Source organism: Homo sapiens, chromosome 3 (assembly GCF_000001405.40).
Source record: "Homo sapiens chromosome 3, GRCh38.p14 Primary Assembly".
NCBI lineage: Eukaryota > Metazoa > Chordata > Mammalia > Primates > Hominidae > Homo > Homo sapiens.
In genome coordinates this window covers 133,758,277-133,778,361 of record NC_000003.12, presented here as the reverse complement: position 1 = coordinate 133,778,361, position 20,085 = coordinate 133,758,277, and the positions used below count along the sequence as shown (strand labels likewise).

The 20,085-nt window shown below is 41.9% G+C and overlaps 1 protein-coding gene and 1 pseudogene across 3 annotated transcripts in view; both read right to left on the bottom strand.

The window, feature by feature from the left end:
- Positions 1-20,085, bottom strand: part of TF (transferrin) — a 134,644-nt gene that overhangs the window by 18,280 nt on the left and 96,279 nt on the right. For all 3 annotated transcript variants that reach the window (NM_001354703.2, NM_001063.4, NM_001354704.2), the window contains 8 exons: positions 19,033-19,187; positions 14,087-14,180; positions 13,455-13,487; positions 11,929-12,084; positions 10,198-10,333; positions 7,790-7,854; positions 2,745-2,929; positions 1,124-1,313 (listed from right to left, as the gene is read on the bottom strand). In NM_001354703.2, the coding sequence (NP_001341632.2) occupies positions 1,124-1,313; positions 2,745-2,929; positions 7,790-7,854; positions 10,198-10,333; positions 11,929-12,084; positions 13,455-13,487; positions 14,087-14,180; positions 19,033-19,187 (1,014 nt within the window). The remainder of the gene's footprint in view (positions 1-1,123; positions 1,314-2,744; positions 2,930-7,789; positions 7,855-10,197; positions 10,334-11,928; positions 12,085-13,454; positions 13,488-14,086; positions 14,181-19,032; positions 19,188-20,085) is intronic.
- Positions 16,000-16,851, bottom strand: ACSL3P1 (ACSL3 pseudogene 1; annotated as a pseudogene).

The window sequence follows — 20,085 nt, the reverse complement described above, 5'->3', positions numbered from 1 at the left end:
CCCTACAGGGTCCTCCACCTTGTTTCTTATGGGCGAGGCTCACACATCTGAGTTCCTGAGGCCAGGAGTCGCCCAGGAAGACTGTCCTCCCTGACCTCTTTAAGCAGGTGAGGAACTGACATAGCAAAAAGCACCTGCAATGTGCCAGTTTCTGTGCTGTGGGCTAAGGATGGAGGAAAGAAGAGCAGAGCCAGACTGTCTGCTTTTGTGGAGGATATAGGTTAGGTAAATATCAACTTGATTCTCACAATAGCGAACCTAGACAAGCACATTGCTGCTTCCGTCAGAATTACATGGGGGCAGCTTTTCAAATGCGGATACCTGACCTAGCACAGACTTTCTAAATCAGTATCTCAAGGCTCTGAGAATCAGCATTTTAATAAGGATCAAGACTCCCTTATCTGCATACTCCTGTGGAAAGACTAACTGCCCTACACCACATGTTATTCCCCAGCTTCCAAACTTTTTCAGGTGACTCAGTTACACCCAACATAGTTATACTGCAAAGATGTGTTTTATTCTATTTCAGTTCTCAGAAACTGGTGTTCCAAATGAGTAGTATGCATAGCAACTTTATGGTTACCAGAACCTATCATTGTTGAAGCTGTCTAGAGCAGCACTGTCTGAAAGAGCTTTCTGTGATGATGCAAACATTCTCTTTGCTGACCAATATGGAGCCACATGTGGCTGTTGAGCACTTGAAATGCAGCTAGGTGGGATTGAAGAAATACATCTTTTATTTAGTTTAATTTTAATTAACTTAAATTTAAATAGTCACATCTTGCTGGTGGCTACCATATTGGACAAGGCAACTCTAATCAAAAGTTTACTGCAGAGCAATGGCATGTACACATAAACCCAGTCCTTTTCTTAGAAATAAGATGGAATTCTCTATACCCAATAAGTTCACTACCTTAGTGCTCTGAGCCTGTATCCCCTTACTATCTGCCCCTACAGTCTAGCCTGTCATACATGCCGGGCTTAGATTGTTCACTCACCATTTCATTTTGTCCATGTTGTCCTATCCCAAGGGCCACAGCCTACCCCTCCTGTACCCACCCACCATCCCAGCACTCACCACCATGTTTGGTTGCCACTTCCCCATGCTGTTCCTCCTACTCACATGAGGTGGAGCATTTTCTCAGGTTACCAACAGCCTTGACATATTCTTCTCCTAAGTATTTTTCATATGTGTTTCTGTCATGAAGTTTGGCCAAACATACTGTGTCATCTCTGAACAGAAGGTCCTTGGTTTCCGACCGGAACAAACAAAAGTTGCCCGAGCAGTCAGTTACGTTGCTTCCAAATAGGTGCTGTCAAGTGAACAGAAAGTCCGTGAGGACCTTGTGGTCTTTAGCAGCTGGGAACACATGGATGAGAAGAGTCTGAAAGCTCTGAACCAGCCCTGGGGAAAAAGGGAAGCTACGGAGTATGTCTTGGGAATTTTCCACCTCCTTTATCTGCCATTTATCCACTTAGGGCCCCAGCTGCATGCTTTCATGATGCCCCCAAAATCATCTATAGGGTCCCTGGTCCCACCTTCCTCTGATAAGTCCCTCCCACCCACACCCATGCCTGCCTACTCTGACCTCTCTTCCCCACTTCATTGCCCTTCACTGGGGGCTGCTTATAGGAAATGAGAGGACAATAACATGTCCCTTCAGATGTTATTGTCAAAGAAGATGTTAAATGTGAACCCTCCCAGAGGAGTGGCAGAGGTAGTTCTTAAAAGTTCATGTTTGACTGCATTTTGAATCCTTTCTTGGGCAAGCCACTCAGCTTCTCCAGATCTCCAAAGGTTGTAAGTGAAATGATGACTGCAAAATGTTGAACTTTCCATATAGCAGCTAGGAAATGTATGTTAAATGCTTATTATTGTCATGTACCTTAAAAGGACTTCAAATATACTCTTATTTTTTTTAAAAAAAGGTAATGGTGAATCAACAGCAGGCAGCTATGCCCAAAAGGAAGGTGATGTGTGTGTGTGGAGGGGCCTTTAGGATTAGAATACTCAGGCAGCCCCTGTCTTCAACAAGGCTGGCCCTGAGTGGTTGTTCCCCCAGAGGGCAGGCTCTCCGAGGGCAAGGGTCCTGTGTTTTTCAGACTGTTGAGAACAGTGCTCAGTCTGCCTAGGCAAGAGGAACAGAAATCCACTCTTCATGACTCGTATCAACAAGCGCTGGGAAACAGGAGCTGTCTTCTTCATTTTCGGGAAGGACAGGAGTAGGGGAAATGAGGGTACCCCTGAACAAGGTTAGGGGGAGCAGAAAGGCAGATTCCTAGTCCCAAGAGTACATGGATCAGATCTAATCACCAGTGACCAGGAGCTAGAAGCAGAGCTGGGCCTGAGAGGTCTAGTTCCATAATTACACAGCTAACATATTTTGAGCACGTCCTATAGGAAATGGAATTTTCCTATGCCGTTTGGGTGCATGTCTTCACTTAATACTCATGTTAACTGAGAAGTAGGTAAAAATATTATTATTACAATTTTATATATGAGGAAGCTGAGGCATAGAGAGGTTATGTAACATACCCAAGATGGCACAACTAGGAAGCTGTGGAGCTGTGATTTGAACCCTGATACTCTAGTCCACAATGCATGGCATGAAATGCACAATGCATGGAATTCTAGTTTTCAAAAAGAAAGTGCTGGAGTCATGGCTGCACTTTGTTGTAAACTCCCCCCGAATAGCCTATGGCCATCTAGGAAGAAAAGGTGGGAGGACCTGGCTGGTCCATACCTGCTGTTGACGTAATATCTTGTGGACGCAAGCTTCCTTATCTTTCCGTGTGACCACAGCGTGATTCGGGGCTCTGGCCAGGTGGCAGTTCGCATACTCCTCCACAGGTTTCCTGGTACCATCAAGGCACAGCAACTCATAGTCTTTTTCATTCAGATTCTTAGCCCATGGATCAGGGTTTTTTCCTAGGGACAGGAAGAAGGTGGTTCAGCTGATGGCTTTGGTCAAGGTGCCCCGCTGGGGAGATGGAACTGACTCAGTGGTGTGTAGAGAACCTGGGCCTTCTCGCCAGCAGAAGTGCCCACACTGGGGTTACAGTGATGTGGACAGGAAGAGACACCCATGTGGTCTACAAGGTGATGCCAGACTCACAGTGACCAGGAATGATTATTGACCATCCCCTTCCAACCTTCCCTACCCAGCCAGGTGAGAATGAACTACATTCTGCAGATGCTGTTCAAAAAGATCTTCAATTCCACTAAATTCCAATTCCTTCTGTACCTCTTGCTCCAACAGAGGAAGAATGTGACGCTCTAAGCCAGGTTGATCAATTTCTGTGCTGTAACACATGGCATCTCCAAACAAAAGAACTTTTCCTCAGAGAACACCTTTGGAATCTGCACCAGAATTTTAAATCTGACTCCCTTGTTCCAGTTCTAAATGAGAATGTGCACACACCTGTGTGATACAGGTCTGTATCCCATCTCGGCCCCTTTGCCTCTTCTTTTCTGTATTGTCTCTGAAAAAAAAAAAAAACTCACCCATTCTTAGGGTTTCAGCTCCTTCCTCCTGAGCCACTTTGCAAATATGTTTTGCTAATTTTTATTTCTCTCCCATAATTCAGAATTGCAACCTTTTTAAAAATGTATTTTTCATTTAATTTTGTTTCTTTAACCGAATAACTAATACATGAGATCACACTCATAAATTTTTGAATATCTCTCTATATTAACTAAAAGCCTCCTTTCCTATACTCTCCAAATCTCACTCAGTCTTATAGTGCTAGTCTTTAATATCACATTTGCGAGTTTCCATCCACGGCTCATTATATGTATTTTTCTACGTGTGTATATGGATTTCACATGTTTCTAATTTTGTTTAGTGTTAGATCTTGACAAATGTAAAACTCTGTAGCTTTTTTTTCAACTGTTTACATACCTTATAGATTCTTCTTGTCAGTACATACAAATCAAGCTCGTTCTTCTTAACTACTGTATTATATTTCATAGTGTGGCTATAATAGTATCTTTAAACCATTCCTCTTTTAATAGGCATCTGAGGTGTTTACAATTTTTTGCCACTAAAGTAGCGTTAAAATGAGTGTTACTGGCATATAATTGTGCTTACATAGAAGTGGAATAGTTAGTTCAAAGGGTATATGTATTTTTATTTTATTTTATGTTATTTTATTCATTTATCTATGATACTATGTTCTCAGCCCTCTCCAAGGCACAATCTTATTGGAGGGGAAAATAACACACATACCAAAACAAAAAATTCAGGGCAGGGATAATAATATTTTATATTTTGTAAAACACTCTAGATGCTGTGTGAGCTCAAACCAGGGCTTTGAGAACAAATGAATTAAGAAGCTGGCTGGAGGAGGCAAGATTTCAGTTGTCTCTTATAGTGTGTGTAGGATGAGAGGAGGAGAAAGGAATGCCTCTCTGCGGGAGGAAAGGAGAGTGCAGGCGAGACTGGGGGCAGGTGTGTGCCTGGTGTTTCTAAGGGAGAGAGGAGACCGCCTCTGGAACCATCTCAGGCAGTAGGGTATGTGAGGCACTCAGGCAAGAGGAAAAGTGGGTTTGTGAGGACTTATGAATGGAAATTGATGTTAATGAATGAGCCAGAACCTAAAGGTAGAAAATTAAGAAAAATCAAATGGGAGGTGATTCAGTCTGGCTAGGAGGGCATCTAGAAGGGCATGTTAAAAATATGCTTTTTCAATAAAAATAATACACGTTTATTGGTGGAAATTTATAAAATGCCACGTAAGTATTGGGAAGAAAATTTTGAAGCATTTGTAATTTCATAGTCTACGCCTTCAAAATTGGTACATTTCTAACATTCTTTTTCCTACACACACCTATAATATGCACATACACACACACACACACACACACACACACACAAATTGTGATAAAAGAGCCCATGTGGGCTGAGCGCGGTGGGTCACACCTGTAATCCCAGCACTTTTGAGAGGCCGAGGTGGGCGGATCATGAGGCCAAGAGATGGAGACCATCCTGGCCAACATGGTGAAACCCCGTCTCTACTAAAAATACAAAAATTAGCTGGTCGTGGTGGTGCACGCCTGTAGTCCCAGCTACTTGGGAGGCTGAGGCAGGAGAATCACTTAAATCTGGGAGGCGGAGTTTGCAGTGAGCTGAGATCACATCACTGCACTCCAGCCTAGCAACAAAGTGAGACTCCATCTCAAAAAGAAAAAAAAGAAAAAAAAAAAGCCCACGTGGTTTTGTGTCTTCCTTCTTGTATATACCATAGCACTTAAGACAGATTTTGGAGGAGGGAGAGAGGGGGGCAAGAGTTGAAAAGCTACCTGTTGTGTGCTATGCTCACTACCTGGGTGACAGGTTCAATCATACCGCAAACCTCAGCATCATGCAGTATACCATGTAACAAACCTGCATATGTACCCTCAATCTAAAATATAAGTTGAAAAAGCAACAAATTAATAACAGAAGAAGGTAAGAAGGTGCAAAATATAAGTATGATGAATCAGACATGATGTGACTTACATTTAGTAATATTTATCAGGAATGTGATATTAAGTCAGGGGTATTAGACCAGTAGTTCCCAAACTTACAATACATCAAAATTACTTTGGCTCTTAAAAATCATGTTGTCTACCTTAAATACACACAATTATTTCAAAATTTAGTTTGAAAAAAGACACGTTTTGAAGAAATAAGATATTGACTGACAGACTTAATCTAGGCCTGATGGGCAGGGAGTATAGCAGGATTCTCTATAAGGATAGAGGCTGGGAGAAGAGGAGGGAACGTTGACAGAAAGATGAGGACAGTTGAGTTGTATATGGATTGTATATATACAACTACAATATATGAGGACATCCATATACACACGTAAAAAAATACAATTGCAATGCCAATGTACTCTCTACATAAAAGTGACACCTTGGGAAATAGACTGGAATGGAATTGAGATTGGATGTCAGGCCTCCTATCTTAATTCTATGCAGGAGGGAAGAATTTTTGAGTCATTGCAAAGAGTAAGAGAGTCAAAGCTTAAAGAAGGGAGCTCTACTCAGAAAAGTACCAAAAGAAATCAAGGGTGGCAAAGAGCCAAGCTTAGGGTAACACTCTCTTAAAGGAAAAAGCAATAATACGAGGGAAGAAAGGAAAATTAGTCAACCCAATATTTCTGCAAACAAATTCTTAGCAACTGCTGTGTACTATGTGCTACACTAGGTTCTGGGAATATAAGATGAAGAAAAAGAGCTCAAAGAGTTTCTGTAGCCAAAGTGTATTACAGAGTGTGGTGAATTCAATCATAATGGCAATATGAACAGAGGAGTCTTCTTGTAGGACAGGGTATGCCATCTGGGAAGGCTTCCTGGAGGGGCTGGTGCTGAGCCGGTTCATTCTGGATGAGTTGCCCAGGAAAAGTGAGGAGTTGGGGAATGAACATGAGAGAAGGCAGGGAAGTATTCACAGCTTGAATTCCAGTGGGCTCTGCTAGCACTTAGTGATACTGAGGGGTCAGGTGTGGAGTGCTCAGTCTGGCCAATGTTTGTTTTGCTTTGTTTTGTTTGTTTTTATTAATATTATGGCTGTCCAACGTTCACCCACAAGTTAACACCCATTGATTCTTTTTTTTTTTTTTTTTTTTTTTGAGACGGAGTCTCGCTCTGTCGCCCAGGCCGGACTGCGGACTGCAGTGGCGCAATCTCGGCTCACTGCAAGCTCCGCTTCCCAGGTTCACGCCATTCTCCTGCCTCAGCCTCCCGAGTAGCTGGGACTACAGGCGCCCACCACCGCGCCCGGCTAATTTTTTGTATTTTTAGTAGAGACGGGGTTTCACCTTGTTGGCCAGGATGGTCTCGATCTCCTGACCTCATGATCCACCCGCCTCGGCCTCCCAAAGTTCTGGGATTACAGGCGTGAGCCACTGCGCCCGGCTTAACACCCATTGATTCTTGCTTGAATCAGTTATCAATATATTGGTTGCCAAGTGATAGTTTTCTAACTCTATCATTCCTTCCACATTGATTAGTTTTCCCTTCTTCATTTGTTTAATCAGTATTGCCTCATGCATTCTTATTTCTTTCAATGGGCTATTATCCCTTACTGCTATCATTATTTATTTTAATGCTCAAAATTCCCAGACTTGGCAACAGGAGATCCTTCAAATTGGTTCTTGTATGCTTTGAGTGTCCCATCACTGTTTGAGCACTTCAGTGTGTTGTTCTAGGCTCAGCATCTATTTTTCCTGCCCCAGCCCTGAAGTCAGCTATTTTTCCAAGGAGTTCTGGTTCCTTTTAGTAAAGAAGAGTACTTACAAGCCAATATCTTGGTGCTTACTCCTGCTGGTATGCCATTGCCTCTAGGCCTTCTCAATGGACACAACCCAGAAGTACAGTAAATAGCTATAAAAGGCATTACTGGGATAACTGACAACAGTTAAATGTGGACTGTGGACGTGACGAGTATTAAATCCACATAATGTAAAAGATCCTGATCTTGGTAATCATACTGTGGGTATGCAAGAGATTGTCTTATTCTTAGGAAATAGGCACTGAAGTATTTAGGGGAAAGGAGCACAAGGCTTGCAGCTGTGGGAGTGTGTGTTGGGGAGGATTTAGGGCCATTGGGGGCCCCATAATCCTGATCATTCTGCGCACTCAGGTGAACATGTCTCTCTTCACTGAGCAGACAGACTGAGAATCAGAGCTTTGAAGTCTGACAGTGTACATAATACTTCCACAAAGGCATCCCTGAATACAAGTGAATACCAGTGACCAGGATCTAGTGATCTAGGGGGACAGAGGAGCAGGTGCACTTACCCCCAGTGTTCTGTGGGACAGTCTGGTGTTTCACAAAGGCCACATCTCCCTTCTCAACCAGACACCTGCAGAGGTCCAGAAGTGGGAGAGAAAAAAAAAGGCGGTCAGAGTGACTTATCTGTCATTCAGGGGGCTACCTTATAGATTCAGGACAGCCATCTGAAAACAGCAACTGTAACTTCCATTCTAACAGTAAGCAATGTAAGGAATAAAGAGAACAAAAACAAAACACTCTGAATTGATTGTAGTTTTACAATCTCAGTTCCACATACTAAATCTTAATTTTTTGTACTGTTTCTCTGAGAGATGACATAATTTCCCTGACATCAACAAGGATAGTAGGGAATTGATTTTCAGTGAGGTGATGCCTCCCCCAGCATATGAATGAAAAACTCAGTTCCTTCAGGTTCTCATACAAGGCGAATGTCTAGGCAACATTTGTGAGAGACTGAAACTCCATCACAAATTGCAATTTGTGCTGTCCTTCATTCCTTTGAAAAAGAATTTTAACATTTATGGAGCATTTGCTATGTTGTGGGTTTTTTTGTTTTTGTTTTTGAGAAATGCAGAGAATATGGCAAAACATGGCATAAAGGCACCTGACTCTACTAACTCCCAGGCCACATATCTCTGGGTGTGGTAATGGGGGTTGTAACACAGCTCTGAGCTACAAGTCCCCAAGAAGTTTCAGAAAAGAAATAATAACAAAATAAACTCTGGTTAGTAGGGTTCTAATTTTAATTTTGACTGTCTTCCAGTCCTTTGAAAGGGCATACCACACAGATGATGAACTAGTGTGTACTTCAAAATCTACACAAGGCCCTCCTCAATGAGCCGAGTGGGTTGGACTTTTGGACAATGGACTGAACCCTGCTCTCCATGTACTTTAATCCCCTTGCTTCAAGGAAAAGAACCTGCCTATTACTGCATCGGTTCAAGAGTTTTGGGGGTAGCTAGCTGAGAAGACGGGGTACCTATTGTGCCACATATTGATTTAATTTTATTTTCTTTGGAGTTTGGAGTCTTTTTATCAGTCTGGTACATTTTACTTCATAGCTAAGTTTTATAAGACATGTTTAGAAAAAGAAGCCTTTATACACATTTATTTTAAGCATGTTTATACATACATGTTATTTGAGCCTTTTCTCATGACCTATAATTCTCAAACATATGTTATCACCAGAAAAAGACAAGGTACAAAAATGCAAAGGGGAACTCTATTTTAAGTCCCCCAAACTCTTCAATCTTTATGAAAACAACATGCTCTACTTTGTGAAATTAGAAACTTGGGGAATGTGAATTGTACTTAATCTAACTTACAAAGTGGCTCTAACTGGAAAATAGGAATGACCTTTGTTTTTTACATCATTACGGGGAAGCTCAGTTATAATACCATCATCATTGTGCAGTTCATGGATTCATGAACCACCAAATAACAGAAGGCCTAAAGCAGAATGGGTAGTTAAAAAGTAATAAGGTAGGGCCAGACGTGGCCCACGCCTGTGAGTACCAGCACTTTGGGAGGCCAAGACAGGAGGATTGCTTGAGCCCAGGAGTTTGAGACCAGCCTAGGCAACATGGCAAAACCCTGTCTCTACAAAAAAATACAAAAATTAGCTGGGTGTGATGGTGCATGCCTGTAATCCCAGCTACTAGGGAGGCTGAGGTGGGAGGATCGCTTGAGCTCAGCAGGTTGAGGCTGCAGTGAACCATGAGTGTGCCACTACACTCCAGCCTGGGCAACAGAGAGAGCTCCTGTCTCCAAAAAAAAAAAAAAAAAAAAAAAAATAGCAAGGTACACAGGTATCTCTATGAAAATGAATGATAGGCACTCCATAAAGTACAATTGTAGTTAGGAATTTAGGAATCATGTACTATTCTGTATTTCCAGATGAGTATTGTTCTGGATTATCCAGAGGTGCATGGAAAAGCTTGAGCCAAACTCTCCACTCAGTGTTTATTCAACTACAGTAGGGTATCATTGCCGAGGCACTAGTGACACTTGGGGCTGGATAATTGTTTGTTGTACCATGCTATCCTGTGCATTGTTGAATGTTTAGTGGCTTCTACGTGTTAGATGCTAGTAGCACTTCCTCCCCCACCCCAACATTGTCACAATAAAAAATATATGCAAACATTGCCAAATGTCCCGTGGGGGTCAAATCACCCGTTGACAACTGCTAAACTGTACCAAACACAAGTCTCTGCTGTCTTTGACAGCCATGTCAGCATCCTGGGGGAGTCTGGCTGCCCCTCCCCATGTGGCTCTATATCTGGTTGTGAAATATACTCTCTTAATACATGCCGCACTAATGGAATAGGAACCTAAGAATCTTACCTTAGTTCCTAAAAGAAATCTGGCCAGGGCTTGTATATTATTCTATTTGTTTCAGGGTTAAAAGACTCACCTGAAAGCGCCTGTGTAGCCGTAGTATCCCTCTTTGTTGTTGGGTTCACACAGGTTTAGGCCTGAGCCCATACACAGCTTACAGAGACTGGAGTCTTTCTTAGACCCAGGGGCACAACCTTCACTGAAAAATTCATCTGTGCAGAAGGACAAGAGGAAGTCAGCTTTTCCTGAGTCAATGCAAGCAGCTTTTATTTAAGAGATAACAGGGCTGCATGGCCCATAATAAGTAGAACATATTCATTAATTCTGTGACCAGCCACCACCAACCCAGGACTTGCCAGGCTATAGGCTTTAAAGGGGAACCTATTGAGATTGGGAAAAGGAGTTAATGACCATTACAATTCAGGGCAGAGGGGATTTATTTGAGCACAATAATGATGTCATCACTACGCTAAACAAAGAAGAGATGAAAAATGTCATGAAAGGGAACAGAAAAAGATGAAGACTGAAGGTCTTGCTTCCTGAGCTTGTGCCACCTGTTTTCAGATGTCCCCATTCCCTGCCATTCATTAGAAGAGCCTTTGCTACATCTCCAACCTCAGGAAAGGGATGGGGAATTTTCTTTGCAGCTCAGCTGCTCTCCTGTGGCCATAAAAGTGCTAGGAGGTTCAGGAGGGCAGAGGTAGTGCCTTTGTCAGTGGGGATCCTGAGTTTTCTGAATGTCACCTTGGCCACACTTTGCTTCATGTCTAAGTGGTGTCACAAAGCACCCTGGTACAGAGGCATACTCTCATCACCACTTCCCTGACCCCACAGGGTTTTCTGGGTTAATAACCAGATTTAGAGGCCTTTTCTTTTTTAAAGAGTTGCCCAAATTTGGAGGTGGCAGGGACAAAGTACTTAGGAAGCTAATGTAAATCAGAACCACTGGAAAACATCTGTCTGTAGGAGAACTTACACTTAAAAGTTTAAGCGGGGTAGAAATAAGCTCATACCTGGTGGTATTCAGAGGACATAGAAAATGAGGTGATTTCTACTGCTTAGAAGGGTCCTAGGAGCTGGGTAGGGACTTGGTGAGATTGCCAACACCATGAAGAGACCCGGGATCTCCCACACTCACATACCATACAAAACCTTGTGGCAGGGATTGCTACCTGTCTACCCAATATCTGTTTCTCCTTGTACTTTGTAACAAAAATCTGGTTTTATCTGGGGTAGGGACATTTCCAGATGAACGATTACATTTCTTTTTTACAGCTAGGTATGGTGATGTACCTAAGTTCTGGGCAATGAGAAGTTTGCTGAAATAACTGGTTAGACTTCCTAGAGAGCTCCTTTAAAAAGGTGGCATAAACTTCCATTTGCTGTAACCCCTTGGTGACTGGGGCTGCCTGGATCATGGATGCGATGGCAACCATGGGGTGACCTTGAAGATGGAAGTCTTATGCTCAGAATAGAGGAGCAGAAAGTGTGAAGGAGCCTGGGTTTCTCATGACCATACCAGCCATGCACTGCTCACCTCTGGTCTTTCTCCTGAGAGATAAATGTATATTCACTCATGCTAATATGTTCAACCTAAATGAACCGTCCCAACTCAGCAACCCAGTTCCAGTCCTTCCAGCCCTTGTTGCTATGTCCTTGAGGACAGCAAATTCTACTGTTCTTTGACCAAATTCTACTTCTCTAGAACCAGAGCCCACAGCACCTTATGCCACACTCCTCTTCCCTAAGGCAGGACCCTGCTTTCTGGCATGGCCCTCACCAGCCCTCCTTCCCAATATTCACTCACCAAATCTGCAGTGGTTGATCTTATTGTAGAGCAGGCCCATGGGGATGTTCCAGCCAGCGGTTCTGCCAACTGCCGTATGGCAGGACTTCTTGCCTTTCAGATTGTCCCAGGTGAGGTCAGAAGCTGATTTCTTCACCACTGCTATAGCAAAATACCCTACAAGAAAGACACCAGAAAAGGATGTATTAACACCTCTGGGGCTTCCAGAGTGTCTGCTTCCAATCAATTTCCCTAGGGAAGCAAAGATATCCTCAATCAGTCATTGTGTCTTGAGAGGATCTTCCCAGTATCTGACTGAGGGGAAGTACAAGGAACTCTGTCAGGAGAAGATTAATCTGAACTTTAAAAACAAAATATTGTGAAAACACCATCATTAGATCAATGGCTGGGTGTATAACCCTTCCCTAAGTGCATAAAGTCACTGAAGTTATAAGCCAGCAATTCACCATCCAATGAGTCCTATCAGAGGAATGGATACTGAAACAGCTAATGTAACCACAAACTTTCATAAATTAACATATGTTGAGATATAGTAGTAAAAGATCAATAAGCAAAAGAGAAAAAACTGAGCCAAACATTTTCTGATAAGGAGAATATAGTTTTATACCAAAATAAATATGCAAAATGGAAAATGTCAATATCAAGTCAGCTTCCATTTTCAGCAGCAAATATATACTGGTCCTTAAAATGGGAAATAGAACATCAACCTATGATTTCAGTTTGCCAGTTTAATTCAGATTACAGTTTCCAACAGAAAACAGAATCTTTATTATCCATAGAATAAGAATGGCTTTTTCTATATCTGCTGAAGGGCTTAGCTCCCCAAGTGATGGGGAGAGGCTGGGAGGTTATAATCAGTGGAAGTGGCAAGGACAGACTTGTACAGTAATGGCTGTCTGGAATGTGACCTGCAGGGGCCTGAGCATAGGGGGCCAGTGCTCACCTTGGTGTAAGACTTCCTGACTTGCTCCTGCTCTGTTTCTTCAGATGTACCCTTACCCAGAGCCCTGGGTGAGAAGCCAGGTTGGCCTGGGTTCCTGGACCCAGCCCTGGCTAGAAGGTCAGATAATTTTATGTTCCTTGATATCTGCCTGTGTGAGGCTCTCTATTGAGCCCTGTAAGGAATAAATAAGCAAAGTTCCTTGGTTGGTGCTTACTCTTATCTGAAAATGTGCAGGCCTCATGTCATGTCAGGTGAGGATCAGTGGGAAAGACCTGGATTTCCCTTCCTAGATGTATAATCCTAGACGATCTGTCTGTAAACTCCCTCAGCTTAGGGTCCACTTGTGTATCCTCAGAGGATGCCAAAACCTACCTTATAGCATTAAATGAAAAATCCTGTGTGCAAGCCATGGCAAGTGTAAAGGGATAACCATCATTATCCATTACTATCCTTCCATGATTCTCTCGCATTGTGAAAATTGGTCTCTTACAGCACCTTATATACTTGAATTTTAAATCTAACCAATTCCCCAAAACAATGGGAATTTATCTTTTAACTCCAGAGGTTACCAATTCAAACTCACCTGCCTCTGGTGTATCCTCACAATTATCGCTCTCTGCAGGAGAAAAGAAAATGAAAAAGGCATTAAACCCTGATTTATAGATTGGGAAACCATGCCTTTTTTTTATGCTGCAGCTAAGAATAAAGAAAGTCAGAGAAAATTATCTATACATGTCATCAATTCCCAACAAGTCCAGACTCTCTGGATCATGCAAGTCCATTTCACCTCCTGGCCTCTAGAATTTATCCACAAACTGCGAATGTCAAGTTTCCTGCTCTGTCTGCACTGAGACCACAGAGGCGTGCTAGCCAACTATATTTAAATCCTAGCAACAGGGCAGTGAGAGAAGTGTGAGTTTTGGAACCTGGAAGACTGCCAGAAATCCCAGCTGTCCTTTGCAATGGGGTCATCTTTAGTGAGGACTTCCCAGTGCAGAACTTTCATTTCCCATTTCTGGAATGTACTATAACTCCCAACCTTCAAGATGACTGTGGGGATTTGAGATGAAGGAGCCCAGAGCTTGCAAAGTAGGAGGTGCTCAGAGAGGGAAAGCTTTATGGCAGCTGTGGTATGAATCAGACTGTGATTTTTCCATCTCCTCTCTCCATGGCCCTGAGGGAAGAAAACACAGAGAGGTGCTCCCCACCACTTACTATTGTAGTTTTCTGCCAAGACAGGCACCAGACCACACTTGCCCGCTATGTAGACAAACCCTCCATCCAAGCTCATGGCATCAGCTTCTCCATTCTGCAAAGACACAGCAAATCACAGCAGATGAAAAGAGGCTGTTTCCTGTGCCACCCACTTTTCCAGCTGTTTCCTTGAAGCAGCCTTTCCAGCACATGAATGCCAGGGAGATAGCAGATGCTGATACTGAACCCCCAAAAGATCAGCCAGGCACACTCAGCAGAGAAAATCAAATGTACTCTCATTTTCACCCAACCATCATGAACTGATCATCAACTCCAGGTGCCTAGTTCAAGAGCAAAGACCCACATTCAGTCCTCTTGCCCTCTTGTAGGACACACTGTCCCAGAGACACTCCTACGACACATTTCTGACACCAAGAATTCTCACGTGCAGATGGATGAGTGGAGTCAGGGACTCGTGGCTGTGGCTGTGGAACACAGCACCTTCTGAAGGGGGGCTCTAGCCTCTAATGTCAGCCTCCTTGGCTGAGTGCTATTTCCGTGTTTGGTGCATACAACATGTTTAATGAATGAGTCAAATATTTTCAAATGTTCTAAATCTCAGCTCTAGTAAGCCCCAAATTTCAGAGATGCTTAGATTCAACAAGGTTTGTAAGATTTCCCTTTGGCCTGGCAATATACTTTCTAGTAATAAACCATAAAAGAACAATCAGATTGGTGGGCAACTATTTGGACAAAATGTGTAAGTGGGCAAAAATAACAGGTGTGATTTATAATAGCAAAAAGAAAATTAAACTAAATGCTCAATGACAGAGAAATAGCTAAATAAGTGGAAGCACATCCATGCTATGGAATAGATATCAGTCTTAAAATATCATTTTTTTCTTTAAAACGTAAGTATGGCTATATTTATTTCTCTTAATTCATGCAAGATAGTAATTACACATCAGCAAATATTATCCTCAATAATGATTTGATTCATAAGCATTTGAAATGTATGTAATTTCACATCAATAGCCTTGCATTTTTTTAATACTGTAAGTTAAAAAGCACCCCCCAACAGCCACTTTATATATTTTCCATAACTCCCTCTACACATCCAAACTTTAAACATAAACTGAATATATAGGTCATGTTTAGAAACTTGAGGTTTTAGAAATCTGCTTCCTCACTATGATTCAGAAAACTCCTTATACTGACAATACAGTCACAGGTTAGGTAAAGGTAGTTGTAGGAGGGGAAAAGGAAAAAGACAGACACAAGTTTGCTCTCCTACTATTTTACTAATCCTGTCTGTTGAAAATGGTGATGTCTTAAGAAGTAAAAATCTAGGTTGAATATGAAGAATGGAGTTTGCCTCACAGTTTGAAACATGCATTTCAAATAATTTCCTATTTGATTTGAGCTCACTGTAGCAAACTGATGCCAAAAGAGAAAAATCATTTCTTCCACACATTCGCTCAGAGTCTGCCTGGTAATGTGTATTAAATTCTTTGTGTTTTAGCTTGAAGGCACCTGTCACCAGACCAGTTTCAGGATTCATGGGTCAGGGCTCAAACCAATTTTTAATAGATTTTCAAACTTTTTCAGACACGCCCAAATAGCAGCTTCAGAAAGTACTTTACGTATGGTAGTCCCCTCTTATCCTCAAGGGATATGTTCCAAGACCCCCAGTCTTGGAACCTGAAACCCTATACAATGTTTATTTCCTATACATACAAGCCTATGATAAAGTTTATAAATTAGGCACAGTAAGAGATTAACAACAACAATAATAAAACAATTATAACATACTATAATAAAAGTTATGTTAATGTGCTCTCTCTCTCTCTCAAAATATCTTAACATTTTTGGACCACGGTTGACTGTAGGTATAACCCAAGAAAGCGAAACCTCACATAAAGGGGGACTACTGCACCTCATCTTCTGTTTCACAACTGTTAGAGAGCTACTCTCAAGTTCCTGTAAGTCCTTTCTTTCAAGTTAGTTCTGTTAGTTCCTTTTGATTTGGCACAACAAATCCAATGACATAAGAACAATTAACTGTTTGCAAATGCACAAACGTCATCTATTACTGGGAGATTCTTCAGAGTTGGCTCTACTTTCCCAAGGGAAACATAGTCTCCTGCCTGTAGTTTTACAAGGTCCTTTTTATGATCGATCATCTGTAAACAACCATCAAACTCTTCAGCATCTCTAGGACATAATCACTTCTGTCCATTTCCATCTTCAAATAAATCAGCTTTTGTTTCTGCTTCATTTCTGTAGCATCCCATTGTCACATTTTAGCCACCGATAAGAATTCTACCTCTGGGATGTGGTTTTTCAGTATTAAAGTATCCACCTTCCTCCCAGTTCTTTAATTTAATTTCACAGCAAACTAATGGGACTCTCACTTCTGCCAGTCTTGTAATCCACACATCTGTAATTGTTCCAGCCCCTGTAGGTTCAGTGAGTCTGTATTCATGAACTTGCTGCGTGTTGCAGAAAGTGGAGCACTTTCATACAATAAAAGCTGAATATTTCCACCTAGCTAGCTTCACAGTTTCCAGAAAACAAAGCTGTCACACAATCCAGTACTATGCTCTTTTGAAATGTGTTCCATTTTATAATTATAAGCCAGAATAAACAGATTGTGTTGAAGACTACTGATTTCATACACTTAATTCATGACATTTTGGTAGATCTGATCCATGATTTCCAGAACAGCTGCCATCAGTGTTGGTCTCAACCCAGAAGTACACCCTTTGCTTCTGGTTTTTATTTTTTTATTTTTTATTTTTTTGAGATGGTGTCTCACTATGTTTCCCAGGCTGGACTCAAACTCCTGGGCTCAAGCAATCCTCCTACCTTAGCCTCCTGAGTAGCTGGTACTACAGCTGCATGCCACAGTGGGCAGCCCATTTTTTACTTTTAAAGACTGATCCACTGAAGTCTGGGGTGAAGAGGAGCCAAGCAGGCATCCATGAGAAAAACAAAGAAGCTCAAAGCTTAATTCTAGAACATGGGCCACAGGTAAATATCCAATGTAGTCATCTTCCTCCTCCAGTCTGGGAATCCTTTCTGCCATCCCAGTAATACCAGTAATGATGTTTCTATGCGAGATGATGACTCCCTTTGGAAGTCCTGTGTGTCTACTCATGAACATGATTACTGCAATAACCGAGGGCACTGGTCACTTTGGGATCTGTTTTCCACACTCACCTTCACTTTCTACTGCAGCCATGATGTCCATGATAACAACCTTGGGAAATTGGGACAGGTCAGTGGCTTCCCATTGACAGTGATGATGTGTCACAGGTGTGGGACCAAATAAACTATGTCTTTCAACTTTGTTTCCAATAATTCTTTACTAGCAATGAGATTAGTTACTTTTGTTTCATTAATCCATGGGCCCTGGACCTCCTAAAGTAGCATATAATTTTATGAACTAAATGTTATGCATGAAACATACCTATCCAGCAATCATCCACTTGGACGTGGTCTCACAGAACATGGCAATGTTGGTCTTTGGTTTCTGCCCCAACATCTGTAAGCTATTTCCAACATTAAAGGCTCAAACGATGACATCTTCATAGGAGAGCAAATTATGATGTCCAAGAAGAACCTTTTAAAATATGTTTACATTTGGTTGTACTTAATCTTCATTTAAGATTTCACATGTTCCCAAGAGTCTTTTGCTCTTCCTTTTTTTTACAGACGTAAAAAACTTTATCTATTGTATCACATCCAGAGTATAATATTGAAGCCCAGCCACTCAAACTGCTAACAGATTTGTATAGACTCAGGTTTTGAATTTGTAGGCTTTGCTTTAACTTAGTTTGGTTTTTCTTGTCTTGACTCAGACAAAAATTAAAATGGAATATATGTTAAAATAGCATAAAGTGATATCTATAAATTGTATGAAATATAAAATAATGAGCTTGATGGTCCCTTTTTGCTTCATGGTAGATAGTTCTGAAGATACATGGTTATTCATAAGTGCTCAAAAAGTAGAATTAACATATTTCAGCAAAAATCTGTTGACAATGGCAGGAAGTACCTTTATAATATGCATCTTTGTTTCAATATATTTGCTGATTTATTATAAAGGATCCAACTCAAGAATAGCCAAATGGAAGAGACACAGAGGGCAAGAAATGTGGGGAGGAGGGGGAGTGGAGCTTGGCACTTCATGTTCTCTCTAGGCAAACCATACTCCCCCATCTCGATGTGTGCACTAACACAGAAGCTCCAGATTAGGTTTTACAAGAATGATTTATGATATGGGAAAAGCTTACTAGATACTGTGAGTGAGTAAAAGGTAGCAAGCAACCTACATGAAATGATCCCAATAAGGGAATTTTCTCTGAATTACATGATTATAAGTACTTTTTATTTCTTCTTTATATCATTCAGGATTTTAAAAATTCTCTGTAAGCCAACATGGAATATTCTTTCTTAAAAAAAAAATGTTGTTAGAGACAAGGTCCTGCTAAGTTGCTAGCCCTGAACTCCTGGGCTCAAGCAATCCTCCTGCCTCAGCTTTCGAAGTAGCTGGGACTACAGGTGCATGCCACCATGCCAGGCTAGGATACTCTTTTGATCAACAAAGCAAATTTGTACCTGATTGGATCCTACCATGTACTCAGGATCTTATCTCAGTGATCGTGGCACACCACTGGTCTCAGGACACCCACACCATGGTCCAGCCTCCCTAAGCAGGCACTGCTCAGCCTGCCCTTTCACCATACACTCATACAAGGAGGAAACTGAGCCCTGTGGGCACCCTTCAGATCCACAAGCTCAAAGATTCTGAACCTCCGGTGGGGCTGTGCTCACATAGTCAGGGCAAGGTTCCTGGGAGCCAGGTTTTTGCATCATTCCCAGGAACACTCCCTAGCTCAGTCTTGGGGGCCAGCAGGCAGCAATGACAGGGACGCTGCCCTAGGAAGGCTGGAGTGACATACCATGATCTTGGCGATGCAGTCTTCGGTGGTCTCTGCTGATACACACTCTATTTTCCCTACACTGTTAACACTCCACTCATCACACTTGAGCCTCTCGTGGTGGCTCAGCGCACACCACTTCACAGGCTTGCATTCATCTGTTGGGGCTTCTGGGCCTATGGCATAAAAAAAGAACAAAGATCAGAAGCGGCCCTAGCTGTTGCCTGGTGTTTGTCAGCACTACTCACTGTCTTCATGCAAATGCTGGGATTTGCCAGCAATAAACAAACAGACCCCATTCAAGGAATTAATCACCTTAGAAAGCAAAGTCAATGCACAATCTCTTGGTTGACTTCTCATTTAAATTTAGTTTTTTATGTCTTCCGAGAAGCCAACTTTCCTCTCCAGCCTCTGGGCACTATATGACCTCTGGCTGTTTTTTTCCTTCTTGTTTTTCAGATAGCACTTAACTACTGGAGGTGTTCTTATTTATATGTTCATTGTTTATTGTCAGGTTTTCTGCAGGAGAACAGAAGCTCCAACACAGAAAGGGCCCTGCCTGTCTTGTTCACCAGGGCATCCTCAGGGTTAGGGCAATGCTAGCACATGGTCAGCATAATAAATGTCTGATGAATAAATGTACATCTGCTCATCTTTCAGACTGAGCTCAAGAGTCACTTCCTCAAGGAAGCTTTGCCTTAACGCCAAGTCCAGGGCCTATTTTTCTTTGTTTTGCAGTCTCATAGGGCCATGGTATTTTGTTGTCATATTTTTCCCCTTTTAAACATATCTCTTACTTTGTAATTCATCATCCAATAGCATGACTATTCATTAAACATTTATCTTCTCCCCAGTTTGAAATTTCCAGGACAACAGAATCAAATATATATTTGTCATGCCATCCTATGTCCAGCACCTAGCAGAGCATATGGCTAGATGTTCAATAAATGTCTGCTGAATAAATGAATGGTCAAGCAAAACCACAGTGACTCAGTGAAATCCAGGACTGGGATCAACCTCTCTTAGAGCACCTCTTCATTATGGTACATGTTGACTGGCTGGAGATGTGCAATA